Source organism: Homo sapiens, chromosome 4, assembly GCF_000001405.40.
Source record: "Homo sapiens chromosome 4, GRCh38.p14 Primary Assembly".
NCBI lineage: Eukaryota > Metazoa > Chordata > Mammalia > Primates > Hominidae > Homo > Homo sapiens.
This window is the reverse complement of record NC_000004.12, coordinates 40,571,489-40,587,680: the sequence shown is the minus strand read 5'-3', so window position 1 is coordinate 40,587,680 and position 16,192 is coordinate 40,571,489. Positions and strand designations below refer to the sequence as shown.

General features: G+C 44.2%; 1 protein-coding gene across 32 annotated transcripts in view, besides 3 other annotated features; it reads left to right on the top strand.

Moving 5' to 3' along the window:
• RBM47 (RNA binding motif protein 47) overlaps nucleotides 1-16,192 on the top strand; it is a 207,573-nt gene that overhangs the window by 43,172 nt on the left and 148,209 nt on the right. For 3 of the 32 annotated variants that reach the window (XM_047415821.1, XM_047415809.1, XM_017008304.3), the window contains exon 1: nucleotides 818-1,137. The exons of the other annotated variants lie outside the window; for them this stretch is intronic. The gene's annotated coding sequence lies outside the window, so the exon portion shown is untranslated. Of the gene's footprint in view, nucleotides 1-817; nucleotides 1,138-16,192 lie in introns of those variants that run through there. 32 annotated transcript variants of the gene reach the window in all.
• Nucleotides 5,524-5,702: a silencer, noted in NCBI's record as "fragment chr4:40583996-40584174 (GRCh37/hg19 assembly coordinates)". NCBI's record gives its function as "represses an EF-1alpha promoter that drives an FKBP-Casp9 reporter gene in an ReSE screen in K562 erythroleukemia cells {active_cell/tissue: K562}" and the evidence as "EXISTENCE:reporter gene assay evidence [ECO:0000049][PMID:32094911]".
• Nucleotides 10,153-10,352: an enhancer, noted in NCBI's record as "active region_21492". NCBI's record gives its function as "activates an Ori minimal core promoter by ATAC-STARR-seq in GM12878 lymphoblastoid cells {active_cell/tissue: GM12878}" and the evidence as "EXISTENCE:reporter gene assay evidence [ECO:0000049][PMID:35858748]".
• Nucleotides 10,373-10,542: an enhancer, noted in NCBI's record as "active region_21491". NCBI's record gives its function as "activates an Ori minimal core promoter by ATAC-STARR-seq in GM12878 lymphoblastoid cells {active_cell/tissue: GM12878}" and the evidence as "EXISTENCE:reporter gene assay evidence [ECO:0000049][PMID:35858748]".

Below are 16,192 nucleotides of genomic sequence, written 5' to 3'. Positions count from 1 at the left end.
TCAGGAGGGTTAAGGAAAGTGCTGGAAGGTCTTTCCCTTTTAAGTAAAGGTTCTGAGAATTCCCCACCCCATTCCTCCAATGTGTTATTTGGTGAAATCAAGTTAAACTGCAAAACATGCCCCAAGGGGAAAAGGGTTCTTAGAAGCAGAAGGAAGGGGCAGTTCCACTTATTATGTCTTCATATTTACAGTGTCTTCTTTTTCTCTTTCTGTGTGTTCCCTGCCCCTGGCTCCTAGCGCTTCATAAATGTTTATTGAATGGATAGATGTTTGGAGACTGAGGGAAAGTGAGGGTGGTCAGGGCCTTCTGGTCTCTTCTTAGTGTTAACCCCCATCCCTGCCCCACAGTTCCTCCCTGAGCACTACCTGTGGCCCCTTAATATGCTCTCCTGAGTCAGCAGTGAGGATTTCCCCAGATGCACCCCATATATTCCCAAATCCTAGCCTCTGAGTCTGTTCAAACTGTTCTTCCCGTTTTCCCCCGCTTGTCTCTAGATGCCTGAATCTTCCTCCTCCTCCTCAGCCCCAGTTCAGAGTCCTGCCTCTTCACAAAGCCCTTTCCATGCACCCCAGGTGGACCCCTCCTCACGGCTCTTCCAGCCCTTTGCCTGTATCACACATTTGAGTGTTTAGGGTGGTAGCTGATGCCGGAGCAGGAAGTTCCCTTTAGTAATGTGGATATTACTAAACCCCTCATTTTATAAATGAGAACACTAAGGCCCGAGGAAATCACGTGATGTGCCCAAGGTCATGCCGTTGTCTGAAATGCTTGGCAGCTGCCTGCACACAGCTGTTGTGAATCCCCTCCTGCCCCTTCATACCGTGCCACTGTCTTGGATTGACCCACTGTGACTGTGTGCACTGTCTTCTATAAGGAAACCCCAGAAGACACCCGTCATGAAAGTTCACAATGGAGAGAGGTCACCGGTGGGGTCTTTGCCTTCTTCACTGTGACTCTTGCTTCCAAGGTCCACCTTCTCGTTGGCCAGCGCTCATCAATTACCATTGCCCCTGCCTGCCTGTTCTCAGGAGTCCCATTCTCACTTGAAAAGTGGACGGAGCGCCAAGCTGGATCTAGGATGCTTGGGGTGGAATTAACCCAGAACGGAATATGCAATGGCTGTTCTGGTTAACAGGGTAAGGCGTTTTCATCTCTGCCTCTACTCTCTCCCTCCCATTTCCCTGCAACAGCCCTTGCCATTAACCCCTTCTTACCCAGGAGCACCCTCCAACATGCCTGCTTTCAAAAAGTCTGACTCCACACCCAGGAGAAAAGCCCCTAACTCTGTTTCTGTCTCCTGGTGGTCAAAGGCTTACCTTCCAGACTCTCTTTCTCTGGTTTGAGGAACCTCTTCTTTTCAAGGTGTTTGACAGTAAGAATTATCACAATCTTTTGGAAAGACACTTACACAACCTCCATGACTCAACAGAGTTCTTTACCTCAAACCTCAGCAGGATGAACCGATCAGAATCCAATGCAGTTATGCTCACATTCAGCACAGTGCAGAGGAGAGTGAAGTGGGGGTGTGGTGAGGGTGGGGGGATTTATGCTATCTCCCTAACATGTTAATTCTGCAAGAAGTGTATCCCCTCTTATGGATTTCTGCCCCATGGCGTTTTGCATAGTGCTGGGCATTTAGTAACACTCGGGCTGAGTAGCTTTGAAACCATCAAATGTACTTTATAGAGAAGGAGCTTGGTGTTGGGGGAGGAAGCCAGAGATAAAGAGTACCGTCCTGCTTACCTGCTTCCAGACTTCCACAGAATGCCCACTCTGCTCTGTTCCCTAGAATGTGTTAATTCATCCACTCATTCAACACATAGGTCTAGAGTGCTTGCTGTTTGCCAGATATGATATTTGCTGCTGGGCATCAGCAGTGAACGACAGATGCTGTGTCCTATGTGCCGTGCTTGATGGATGACCCATCACAGTCACATTACTGATAGCAGGGGCATGGTTAATAAACCGTGCTTGATCGTGTGCCGGAACACCTTTGTCATGTGGGACTGCTTGGGTTCGCTTTGGTTTTGTTGTGAAGTATGGGTGCTAAGACAGGCTTTGCCTTGAAAACTCCCCACCACACCCCACCTATTGTGGTTACTCTGGCTAATCAAGGCTGCTAGTATGAGGCAATAGGCCTATAACAATAGGCAGTTATAATGTACGTGCTTTTTCTTTACACAAGATCTTTAAAAGTCAGTTTATTAGAGCCTATTGAAACAATTAGGAATATTTATGGGGCGATTTTGTTGCTTTCTTACCTCTACAATAAAAGTCATAGTTCTTGATGATTGAAAGCTTGTTCTGGGGCTCTGAAATGGAAGATCCATATGAATTAGGCTCAAAGGAACTTGATCTCATTTTCCTCTTTTCTTTTTCATTTGGCTCACAAATTCCATTCCATACCCATTTTTTTCCCCTATGGACAGCAAAGTTTTAAAATAAATAGCAGCAACTCTGTTTTCCTAGTTTAACTAACATGGAAACACTTAATCCTCTTAGTTTTCTTGATTTTGCAAACAAGGATTTGTGAGGATAAAACTTTAAGTAGTCCAGTCACATGGACTAGGTATTCACTTAATGACCCCGAATGAAACCTGTTAGAAAAGCAAAGTAGTGAATTAATAATGTCCCCTAGTCATTTTCTCTGCCTTAATTTTCAGCCACAGGTTGTGCAACTTTAGTGGAACCTGTAGATATGGTCACTGCGCCTCCATTAGTTGGAACAGATTCTTTGTATCACTAGCTGAGACTCCATCAGCTTTCTGATCTTTCCATTTTGAGCATTAGAAAACAAACAAACAAACAAACACACATGATCTATAGCTGTGCCATCTGATATAAGAGCCACCAGTCACCTGTGGCTCTTGAAATGTGGCTGGCGCAACTGAGTTGAATCTTTTATTTTAATTAATTTGAATTTAAAAACTGAAGCCATGTACATTTTTTTTTGTTAAACACAACTTTATTGGGAAGCTTGTAAGTACATTTGAGGCAACATGTAGGTGTGTGTGTGTGAGATCTACTTTTTTTACTGTAAATTTTATGCAATACATACCAAGTATTTCTGTTGAAATCTAGCATCCAAAATGAGATGTGCTGTAAATGTAAAAAGGAATATGAAATATCTCAGTTTAATAGTTTTTTATACTGATTACATGTTGAAAGGACAATGTTTTGGATATGTTGGGTTAAATGAAATATATTATTAAAATTGTCACCTGTTTTTTACGCTTTTAAAATGTGGCTTCTAGAAAATTAATCAAATACGTGTCTCCCATTGCATTTATAATGGACAACACTGGTCTGATGGATTGGAGTGGAAGTTTCCATGTCATGGCTCACAGGGTTTTTACCAGCTTACCTTGGGGGAGTGTCATGATGTGTGACGTGTTCAGTTTAATAAGTGAACAACCAGCCCAGCACGGTGGCTCATACTGGTAATCCTAGCACATTGGGAGGCCGGAGCAGGAGAACTGCTTGAGCCAAGTAGATCAAAACCAGCCTGGGCAACATGGTGAAACTCCATCTCTATAAAAAACACAAAAATTAGCGGGGCATGTTGGTGCGTGCCTGTAGTCTCAGCTGCTCTGAGGCTGAGGTAGGAGGATCGCTTGAGCCTGGAGGCTGCAGTGAGCCAAGATTGCGTCACTGCACTCCAGCCAGGGTGACAGAGCAAGACCCTGTCTCAAAAAAATAAATGCAGAGTTTGATGGTAGATTTGCATTTTAAACAAATTCCATGTTATAATAAATCACAAAATATATTTAATCATTCTGCTTTTTGGTTTTTTTGTTTTTTGTTTTTTGTTTTTTTTTTTTTGAGACGGAGTCTCGCTCTCTCGCCCAGGCTGGAGTGCAGTGGCGTGATCTTGGCTCACTGCAAGCTCTGCCTCCCGGGTTCACGCCATTCTCCTGCCTCAGCCTCTCGAGTAGCTGGGACTACAGGCGCCCGCCACCGCGCCCGGCTAATTTTTTGTATTTTTAGTAGAGACGGGGTTTCACCGTGTTAGCCAGGATGGTCTCGATCTCCTGACCTCATGATCCACCCGTCTCGGCCTCCCAAAGTGCTGGGATTACAGCCATGAGCCACCGCGCCTGGCCCATTCTGCTTTTAAGAATTAATTAGTTAATTAATATTTTTTAGAGGCAGGGTCTCACTACATTGCCCAGGCTAGTGTTGAACTCCTGAGGCCAGGAGTTTCCTCAGCCTCCCAAGTAACTGGGACTACAGGCGTGCATCACCTTGTCCAGCTTCTGTTTCCCTTTTTTTTTTTTTTTTTTTTTTTTTTCTGAGATGGAGTAGTGGCGTGATCTCGGCTCACTGCAACCTCCACCTCTCAGGTTCAAGTGATTCTTGTGCCTCAGCCTCCCAAGTAGCTGGGATTACAGGTGTGCACCACCATGCCCAGCTAATTTTTTTTGTATTTTTAGTAGAGACGGAGGCTGGTTTTGAACTCTCGGACTCAAGTGATCTGCCCACCTCAGCCTCCCAGTAAATGCTGGAATTACAGGCGTGAGCCACTGTGCTTGGCCGGCCTGACCTTGCTTTTGTCTCCCTTTGCTCTTTCTTGTTCTTTATTCCCATTCTGCAATTAACCCATAACCTTGAAGCTCCTTTTCCCTGTCTCTTCTGTACTTCGCACATTCCACTTACTCTACTAGTTTGATTTTTGAGTGTGTATTGAGCACTTGCTATGTGCTAAGCTGCCTTCGAGGTGCTTATTCACTAGCAGAAAGAGTTTATAAATAAGGGCAATGCAATGTTACAGTTGCTCTGATAGAGTTGGAAGAGAGTACAGCATGGGCAAGGGTGGTAATGAGACATGGATTCTACCAGGGTGGTGACTAGACTTTGTAGAGGAGGTGACAATTGAATGGTTTTGATGACTGACTAGGCGTTGAGAGTAGGGTATAAGGTTGAAGAAGAAACAGGTAGAGGGCTCAGTGCAACACATGAAACAGCCCGGAGCCAGAAGAATGTGTTCAGGAAACGTGACAAGTTTGTATGGCATATGGGGTCATAGTACGGAAGGATGGAGTTGGAGTGAGGCAGGGAACAGATCCTGGAATGCTTTGCTGACTATTGGTAGTGAGTGATGTCATCAGATCCTAGTTTTTGTTTTTATTGTTTGTTTGTTTGTTTTGAGATGGAGTCTTGCTCTGTTGCCCAGGCTGGAGTACAGTGGCATAATCTCGGCTCACTGCACCCTCCACCTCCTGGGTTGAAGCGATTCTCCTGCCTCAGCGTCCCAAGTAGCTGGGATTACAGGCACGCACCACCACACCTGGCTAATTTTTGTATTTTTGGTAGAGTCGGGGTTTTACCATGTTGACCAGGCTGGTCTTGAACTCCTGACCTCAGGTGATCCTCCTGCCTTGGCCTCCCAAAGTGCTGGGATTACAGGCGTGAGCCACTATGCCTGGCCCAGATCTTAGTTTTGGAAAGATTAGTTTGGCAACAAGGACTAGAGTTAGGAATGGCACCTGTTAGTAAGCTATAGTGAGGGTCTGAGTGAAGAACTTGAACTAAGACATAGGCTGCAGGGATAGTAAGAGGGAGATGAGACATGAAGATTCGAGATGGGTTCTGGGAGTGGACTCAGTAAGCCTCAGTGACTGACTGGGTGAAGGGAGTGTAGGAGCAGGAGTGAGAGGCGCCAACCGGGATTCTGGTGTAGGGACCTGGGGGATGGCGATCCACTTGCTAAGATGGGTGCAGAGGAGGGGAAGCGGGTTCGGGGGAGATAATGAGGTCAGCATTGGATATGGTGAGCTTGAGGCGCTGCTCACAGAGTGGAGGAGGGAGGTCTGGTTGCTCCTGGGGCTGGCGTTCAGGAGACAGCTGGGCTCCCGAGCTCTGTGACTGTGGGAGCTGCTGAAGCTCCCTTTCACTTCTTTTCCCTCTTGCAGGACTGATGCCATACACCTGGGCTGCAGCCTCTCTTCACACACACCCTGAAGGCTCTCTGGTTATCTTTTAAGGCATTTTCTGTCTGTGGTTTCTGAGCTGTCTTCTGAAGAAGAGATAATTTAATCTCACCTCTTCCCCCACCACCCCCACCTTCTCATCCACTCACAAGTAGATTGTATCAACCTGGAAGAAGTCTTCCTCCAAGAAACCAAACAAACCATCTCTATGAGATGCTTTCTCATTCTTCATCTTCCCCAGAGTCCCCCTGCAAGCTTAACACTCTCCAATGACCTCTCCTTTTATTTATTTATTTATTTATTTATTTATTTATTATTACTTTTTTTTTGAGACAAGTTCTCGCTCTGTCACCCAGGCTGGAAGCAGTGGTGTGAGCTCGGCTCACTGCAACCGCTGCTTCCCGGACTCAAGGGATCTTCCCACCTCAGCCTCTCGAGTAGCTGGGACTACAGGCGCATGTCACCATGCTCAGCTAATTTTTAAATGTTTTGTAGAGATGAGGTCTCACTATATTGTCCAGGCTGGTCTCGAACTCCTGGACTCAAGCAACCTTCCCATCTCGGCCTCCCAAAGTACTGGGATTATAGGCCTGAGCCACCGTGCCCGGCTTTCTCCTTTTCTTTAGACTAAAACCCAAGCTCCCTCCTATGGCTCATGAGTTTTTCAGCTCATGACCTCTGGCCACCTCCCAACCTCTGTGCTCCCACCTCTGCCTCCATTACCAGATTCCAGCCACAGATTCTTGTTCCTGGAATTAAAGCGAAAACAAAATGAACAAACCTGTTCCCGCCATGGGGCGTTTGCCCTTGTTTGTGCCTAGATTGCTCTTTCCCTAGATCCTTGCTAGGCTCCCTGTCTCTTTGTTCAACTCTCAGCACAAATATCAGAGTGGCCTTCTCTCTCTCACCAATCTCTGTTAATCTCTGTCCCATTCCTCTGCTTTATTTACCTCACAACTTTTACCACTGTCTGAAATTCTCCTGTCTCTGCCTTTATGTATTGTACATCCTTTCCCATTCATGTGCGAGCAGTGGTAGGGATCATTCCTCAATATGTGTGAGAGCTGAGCCTAACTGAATGATATGGGAAACTTGCTCAGCAATGCAAGGAAAGAGAACGGGTGGCTGCGGCTGCCAGTGCGTGCTGGTGAATGCAGCCCATGGGCGGTTGGTGGGTTGGGGAATGATGGTAACCAAATTTCAAGGCCTTTAAACCATCACCGTGCTGTGGTCATCGGGCTTTCTCTTCAGCATCCCTCCTAATTATCTGGCCTTCCCACGTGCCTGAGGTTCCTGATCTGGTGTCCACAATGATCTGAGAACTGATTCAAGGATTCTTGGAGCCCTCAGACCCAGGAAGAAGAGAGTTTTTAGGTTCCAAATGAGGAGAGTAAACTTTTTGTTGTTCAGTTTGATTATCCTTCACAACAAAGAGAAGGTACTAGAAACTTGGATGAGGGAGATGAGACAGTGGAAAGGATTCAAGCACACAGATGAGTCACTTGGATTCTAAGAGTTAAAAAAAAAAAAGTATGAGGAAACACATTTAGAAAATATCCATGAAGTGGACTCATTTGACTTTGCTAACTAAACCAAGTTCAACTGAAGGAAAATTTTTTACTGGTGAGAGGTCCAGGATATTTGGCATGTTGGAACTTAGACCAATTCGAATTTATAAATCCTCTAAAAGTAGGCCGGAAGCGGTGGCTCACTCCTGTAATCCCAGCACTTTGGGAGGTCAAGGCAGGAAGATCCCTTGAGCCCAGGAGTTCAAGACCAGCCTGGGCAACAAGGCGAGACCCTGTCTCTACAAAAATAAAAAATAATTTAAAAAAATAGACAGGCATGGTAGTGTGCACCTGTGGTCACCTCTACATGGGAGACTGAGGTAGGAGGATCCCTTGAGCCAGGGAGGCAGAGGTTGCAGTGAGCTGTGATTGTGCCACTGCAGTCCAGCCTGGGTGACAGAGTGAGACCTAGTCTCAAAAAAAAAAAAAAAATTACCCTAAAGTTTACTTTCTCAATGTAATAACTCCAGCAAAGACCCACAGAGAAAAATGCTTCAGAGCTTCTTGGGAATGTAGATTGACTCGTGTATGGAGAAGTGCTCTGATTTGAACCACCTCCATAAGATGGGTAAATTTTCTTCATATCATCTCCCTAAAATAGGTAATCTAGTTCCCACTTAAGTCAGATCTTATTTTTTATAATTTTAATAACTTTTAAATAATTACCCTTAAAGTTATAGAGTTTTACCTAGAGAATCTGAACTAGTTATTCCCATCCAATTTGTTTCTTTGCTATTGCATTTTTTTTTTTTTTTTTTCTGAGACAGGGTCTCGCTCTGTCACCCAGGCTGGAGTATAGTGGCATGATCTCGACTCACTACAACCTCCACCTCCCGGGTTCAAGTGGTTCTCCTGCCTCAGCCTCCTGAGTAGCTGGGACTACAGGCGCGTGCCACCATGCCCAGCTAATTTTTTGTATTTTTAGTAGAGATGGGGTTTCAGTGTGTTAGCCAGGATGGTCTCAGTCTCCTGACCTCGTGATCCGCCAGTCTTGGCCTCCCAAAGTGCTGGGATTACAAGCGTGAGCCACCGTGCCTGGCTGCATTTTTTTTTTTTTTAATTTAAGATAGAGTCTCGCTCTGTTGCCCAGGCTGGAGTGCAGTGGCATGATCTTGGCTCACTGTAGCCTCCGCCTCCCAGGTTCAAGTGATTCTTCTGCCTCAGCCTCCTGAGTAGCTGGGAGTACAAGTGCACGCCACCATGTCTGGCTAATTTTTTGTTATTTTAGTGGAGATGGGGTTTCACCATATTGCCCAGGCTGGTCTTGAACTCCTGACCTCAAGTGATCTGCCCTCCCTGGCCTCCCAAAGTGCTGGAATTACAGGCGTGAGCCATCGTGCCCAGCTTGCTATCACATTTTGAGCACCTACTGTGTGTAGCATTGTGCCAAGCACTTTGTGTGCGTTACCCCTTAGCCCTTACAGCAGGCCCTGCTACACAGCACCATTTACAGATGAGGAACTGAGGCAGTGAGAAGTCATATCTCTTGTCCTAGGTAACATAATAACTCTAGAAGTTAAGGTAGAAGAGAAAATGATAGAAAAGGCCATAAGCAAAGCTTTCAGATGGAAGAACAATGAAATCTAAGTGGTGGGCATGTAGAAAGAAAAAGCTAAGAACACTGAAAATGAATGGAAGTAGAAAATGGAGGCAGAGGGAGGCCATTTATTCTACAATTGTCTATAAGTGTCAGGAGGAAAATCCTATGTGTCAAAAGACAAAATTGCAACAAATTTAGTTTAAAGTTCTCAATTGCTTTTATTTGAGTTTCTAGAATCGGGCAACACTTCCTTCCATATTATAGGAAAAGGGTTCCAGTCAGCCGAGCAGAAGAGCTTGGCTTTATAAAGTAGAAGGAAAGAACTTAAAGTATATTAATTGTTTCAAAGATACTTTTTTTGTAAGGAATGGGACAACAGGAGACAGAACAACAGAAAAATAACATCAGATTACTTTAAGGATTAAAGCAGGGAGTTTCATTATGCCAATTAAAGATTTGAAACTGGCCCATTTAAGAAATTTGGTGTTATTTCTTCGTCCTGATTACTGAGAAGGTCAGACAACAACTTAGTTTCTGTTTTGTGATGTGGAACTTTAGCCTGGGTGACTCCATTTTGATTTTCAGTCTGGTCTATTGGGCCCTAGTTGCAGAAGTTTAGTCCAAAACAGTGACCTCCTATAATTCTTTTTTTCTTTTTTTAAGAGAAGAGGTCTTGCTGTGTTGTCTAGGCTGGCCTTGACCTCCTAGGCTCAAGCCATCTTCCCATCTCAGCCCCCTGAGTAGCTGGGACTACACGCACGCACCACCGCTCCTAGCTTCCTGTAATTTTTATTGGACAGTTTGTTGGTTTCTTCACCAGGGAGTAACACAATGGTACCACATTTATCTAATCTTGAGATATGTGCTGAAGTAGGAAAAAACTCCAGAGTTTTAAACGGTCTGTGATAAGGCAGAGATTTGGGGCTTTGGGTTTCTGGTTTGTTGCATTCCTGTTTCTTTGTGACTATCAGCTTATCCCAGACTTTTTTTTTTTTTAAGTATGAGATACCATAAGGGAGGATCAGGAAAGGGAAAACAGGATTTTTAAAAAAATTGGAACAGGGAATAAATAGCAGAGAGGAACATCCTTTTTTTTTTTTTTAAACAGAATCTAACCAGGTACCCATTATACGATCTGCATTTGTCTGGACTGTCACTTGAGCTGTTCTCTGAGCTGTCTTCATGTAACTATTAACTCCCTGATCTTTCTGAGGCTGCCTGTGTGAGGTGGCAGCCTTGTTTAGTCGGCAAACAAGCTGTTGCTGAGGACTCTTGACAACATGAGCAGGCATTTCCCAGTTTGAGGAAGTCCCTGTGGCCTGTGTTAGATTCGGCCACCAGCATGCACAGAGCTGAAGCGTGGGTGCAGGCATTGGCTAGATGGGGTTCAGCCCCTTTCCCAGAACTGAAACTGGTCCCAATCCATCTCTTGGCTCAGCACTCCAGGAAGGCTATTTGAGGAAGCAAACCTATAAGGAACTAAGAACAGTCATGTGTTCATGATTGACTCACTCAGGGTTTCCTCTTTAGCACGTGACCCTCAGGCCACCCATTCCTTGGAGTGGGCTGAAAGTTAATGATTCGTTACTGCCAGGGACGCTTTATTTGAGCAACTCCTTTTTTTCTCCTGGCTTGAGTCACAGGTAGCATTCAGCATGGACTTTGGAGCCAGCCTGTCTGAATCTAATCACTCAGCTCCACCAGCTCTGTGACCCTGGGAAAGTTATTTAATGTCATCCTATCTCAGTTTCTTCATCTATAAAATGGGTATCATCATCATCATCATCAGGATTTCTGTGAATATTATATGAGATAACACATGCAAAGTGTTTACAACAGTGCCTGCCACACGGGAATTTAAAGTATCTAGAAAGTGAAACAACCCTCAGTTGCTAACTTCAAAAATAGAAATGAGCTGAGCTTGCACCTGTAATCCCAGCACCCTGAGGGGCTCAGGCAAGAGGATCACTTGAGGCCAGAAGTTTGAGGCTGCAGTGAGCCATCCATGATCATGCCACTGCACTCCAGCCTGGGCGATAGAGTGAGACCCTGTCTCTTTTAAAAAAGAAAAATGACAAATGATTTCTCATTGTGATGTTAGTATGTTACGTTTGTCTGATATTTTACAGTTTCCAAAATGCTTTCATATATGTTATGTAAGTTGATCACAGGGGCTAGGTAGTAGTTAGAAAGTTTCACCTTTGTAAGAAATAGGCTTGGAGGCCAGGCATGGTGGCTGTTGCTATGTTGCTCAGGCTAGGAGTTCAAGACCAGCCTGGGCGACATAGCAAGACCCCATCTCTACAAAAAAATTTTTTTAAAAAATTGATCAGGCATAAATATGATTGTGGGTGACAGGGGGAGACCCTGTCTCCGCCCCCCCCCAAAAAAAAAAAAAAAACAGAAAAGAGAAAGAAAAAAAGAAATAGGCTGAAGAAAGGGCATAATCTGGGAAAGATAAGGGAAAGCATGTAAGGGATCCTTTCTCAAGGAATGCATTCCATTGCCTGGGGCACTGCCCCAGGAGGAGGTGAGGAAAGATGCCTCTTAGCAAGCTATGTGAGCCTGCAGGGAAGGAACACTTCCCCAGTGTCCGATCCAAAGGAGAACCCTGCCTTGGGTGGCGACAGAACCAGATGAGCTATTAACAATGCCCTCCTGGCCACCAGCACTGGCAGGCCCCCATTTCTTCTGGGCTTCCTCTGGATCAGAGAGCACCTCTGAGATCAGACCCTTTCTCTCCCTGCTGGAGCCAGGCCTCAGGAGCTTGGTAATGTGTGAGAACAAGCACAGAGGAAACCATGAAGGAATCTGAGGTTTCTCTTCAAAAGAGAGAAAATTCCAGATGACCAAATATCACTGTACTCTTGGCGGACAGAATGGCTTCATTTGTCCTTTCAGTGCTAAAACCAGGACAGTCCTGGGCAAACTGGCATGGGTTGGTCACTCAGACACACAGTAGCCCTTATCAAAGTGGTCCAACGGGGATTAAGGACAAAACCATTAAGTATTCAAATTTTAAGTATTCAGTTAACTTGGGGAGACTTCTTTATAGGTAGCTATTCCTTGGTAGTTTTTTTTTTTTTTTTGAGATGGAGTTTCGCTCTTGTTGCCCAGGCTGGAGTGCAGTGGCACGATCTCGACTCACCGCAACCGCTGCCTCCCAGGTTCAAGCGACTTTCCTGCCTCAGCCTCCTGAGTAGCTGGGATTAAAGGGGCCCGCCACCACTCCTGGCTAATTTTGTATTTTTAAGTAGAGACCGGGTTTCTCCATGTTGATCAGGCTGGTCTCGAACTCCTGACCTCAGGTGATCCGCCTGAATCAGCCAAAAAGCTGGGATTATAGGTGTGAGCCACCACGCCCAGCTTCCTTGGTATTTCTTTATAGGTAGCTGTATTAATAACATTCCCTTTGTGAATTACAGTGTCTGTTCAGTGTTTCTGTAGGGCCAGTATTCTTCAATGTAGGGTTTCTCAATCTTGGCACAGTTGATATTTTGGATTGTTTTAAGGGGTTTTCCTGTGCATTATAGGATGTTTAGCAGTATGCCTGTGCTTATTAGAAGCCAGTAGCACCCACCACCAAAAATGTCTTCATGCGTTGCCAGATAACTTCTTGGGGACCCAAATGGTTCCCAATTGAAAACTATTGCCTTGAGGGGTCTATGGCAGCTCCCATGTTTTAGGGGAATTGACCCAAACTGATTATCTTCGTAACCTATCTGATGTTCTCTTCATTTTTTGTTCTTTTCCTCCAGTTTTGCCAATTCTGATGCTTTTTCTTTCTTCTTTGATACAGAGTCTCACTCTGTTGCCCAGGCTAGAGTGCAGTTGTGTGATCTTGGCTCAATGCAACCTCTGCCTCCGGGGTTCAAGTGATTCTTCTGCCTCAGCCTCCCGAGTAGCTGAGATTACAGGCATATGCCACCACACCTGGCTAATTTCTGTATTTTTAGTAGAGATGGGATTTCACCACGTTGGCCAGGCTGGTTTTGAACTCCTGATCTCAGGTGATCTGCCCACCTCAGCTTCCCAAAGTGCTGGGATTACAGGCGTGAGCCACCACACCCAGCCCATTTCCAATACTTTGATAGCTTCCTTGACTTTTTCATCTTCCCTGTCATCTATAATCTTGTGATTACCTATGAGATTCTAAAACATACCTACAGAATACAGGTTTGTCTAACGTTCTGAAAAGAGTCATTCTGTTGAATTATTTTTGGAATCTGGAAATTCTTTCTTCTAACTTTTCAGTTTGTCTCAGTCGGGTGTCCCCTGAGGTTCTCTGGAATCAAACAAATAAAAGTCTTTATTTCTTAGAAAAACCAGAATTAAACTCGGTCTTAACTGAAAAGCTTGTTTCTTCTCATGGTACTAGTTTTACCCAGTCTATTTCTGAAATAATGAGATTATATTTTATGTAAAACTTTAGGAGGAGTTTCCTACACTCTGGGAGAATATTTAGATCTCGGAAGTCTAATAACCCACAACAACTGCAGAGAGGCTGCAGAACGGAAGACCATTTGCACAATCTGGATTCTTCCACCTCGTGCAGTCAGCCCTGTTCTTCCTCATTATTTAAGTGAAAAATATTCTAAACACTGCTCTTCGGTTGCTATGAAAGCTTTGTGGCAAAAGGTCATCTGATCCACCATAGCCTTTAACAAATGAAAATTTAAACCAAAGATGTCTAATACAATTTTATAAAGTTTTACAGAAATGGAAATTATGATTATCTTTCTTAGGAAACTGTTCCAATTTTTCATTACCCTCAAAGTCAAAGTTTATTTTTCTTTCTTTCTTTCTCTTTCTTTCTTTCTTTCTTTCTTTCTTTTTCTTTCTTTCTCTCTCTCTCTCTTTCTTTCTTTCTTTCTCTCTCTCTCTCTTTCTTTCTTGCTTTTCTTTTTTTAGACAGAGCCTTGCTCTGTCTCTTCCCCAGGCTGGAGTTTAGTGGCATGATCTAGGCTTACACCAACCTCTGCCTCCCGGGTTCAGGCAATTATCCTGAGTAGCTGGGACTACAGGCACATGCTACCATGCCCAGCTAATTTTTGTATTTTTTGTAGAGATGGGGTTTCACCATGTTGGCCAGGCTGGTCTCGAACTCTTGACCTCAAGTGATCCACCAGCCTCAGCCTCTCAAAGTGCTGGGATTACAGGCATAATCCACTATGCCCAGCCTAGTTACCCTCAAACTCAAAATTTCATCCTTTTCTTAACTACTGAAGACAATTTCTCTTTATAATATTTACTTTATTTGAACAAATTTTAAGCTAATTATAAAATTAACAGTGGCCCTGGAGAAACACAGAACACAAAGGAGATAATTAAAATCACCTGCAGTCCCAGTACCAGGGATAACTGGAATTAATGTCTTTAAAAAATGCATATAAGATGTGCTTACCAAATTCTCTGGTTAGATTTCTCTTCTTCAGTTCTCAACTAGGGATAGAAAACACTTCTACAATTTTTTTTTTTTTTTTTTTTTTGAGATGAAGTCTTGCTCTGTCACCTAGTCTGGAGTATAATGGCGCAATGTCGGCTCATTGCAACCTCTGCCTCCTGGGTTCAAGCAATTCTTCTGTCTCAGCCTCCCAATTAGCTGGGATTACAGGCACCTACCACCACACCCAGCAGCTAATTTTTGTATTTTTAGCAGACAGGGTTTCACCATTTTGGCCAGGCTAGTCTTGAACTCCTGGCCTCAAGTAATCCGCCCGCCTCGGCCTCCCAAAGTGTTGTGATTCCAGGTGTGAGTTACCGCATCCGGCCCACTTCTGCAATTTTGTGGTGAATTTTAATATATTGTACTTTCAAATGAATAAACAAGGAGGCTCACAGGAAAATTGAAGAATGCATAATGTTGAAGACTTTTTCATTATTATTATTTTTTAAAATTTTTATTATTTAAATTTAAAAAATAGAGATAAGGTCTCACTATGTTGACCAGGCTGGTCTTAAGTGATCCTCCCATCTCGGTCTCCCAAAGTGCTGGGATTACAGGCATAAGCCACCACAGCCGGCCCACTTTCATTATTAAGTTGTTGTTTTGTTCAAATAAACTACATGTGGGTACCAACTGTTCTTAGTTTCTAATCTGTCTTTAGGGAATTTTTTAATGCTATGCAAGTAAATACACTTAGAGCTTCTATTCCTCTCCTTTTCCACAAAAAGTAGAATGTTAGGTGCAGCTTGTTTTTCTTCACTTAACAATATATCTTGAAGATTTCTCAATAACAGTACATTGAGAGCTTCCACATTGCCTTTTTTTTTTTGAGATGGAGTCTCGCTCTGTCACCCAGGCTGGAGTGCAGTGGCGCAACCTCCGCCTCCTGGCTTCAAGCAATTCTCCTACCTCAGTCTCCCTAGTGGCAAGGATTACAGGCGGATGCCACGAGGTCCAGCTAATTTTTGTATTTTAGTAGAGAGGGGGTTTCACCAGGTTGGTCAAGGCTGGTTTCGAACCCCTGACCTCAGGTTATCCACCCGCCTCGGCCTCCCAAAGTGCTGGGATTACAGGGTGAGCCACACCTGGTGGGTTTTTTTTTTTTTTTCCAGTAGTTTTTGAGGAACAGGTGGTGTTTAGTTGCATGGATAAATTCTTTTTTTTTTTCTTTTTGAGATGGAGTCTCGCTCTGTTGCCCAGGCTGGAGTACAGTGGTACAATCTCGGCTCAGTGCAACCTCCGCCTCCCGAGTTCAAGCAATTCTCCTGCCTCAGCTTCCTAAGTAGCTGGGATTACAGGCATGGACCACCACGCCTGGCTAATTTTTTTTTGTATTTTTAGTAGAGATGGGGTTTCACCATATTGGCCAGGCTGTTCTCTAACTCCTGACCTCAAGTGACCGCCTGCCTCAGCCTCCCAAAGTACTAGGATTACAGGCGTGAGCCACCGTGTCCAGCCAGATAAGTTCTTTAGTGGTGATTTCTCAGATTTGGGTACACCCATCACCCGAGCAGTGCCCACTGTATCCAAAGTGTAGTCTTTTATCCCGCACCCTCCTCCCACCTGGTTTGTATTTTTTAAAAAAAATTTTATGTAGTTGAATTGTCAATCTTTTATTGTGATTTTTGGATCATGAGTCAGAATAGAAAGGTCTCATTTCAGATTATAAAAGATTCTCCTATGTTTTCTTGTAGAACCTTTGTGGTT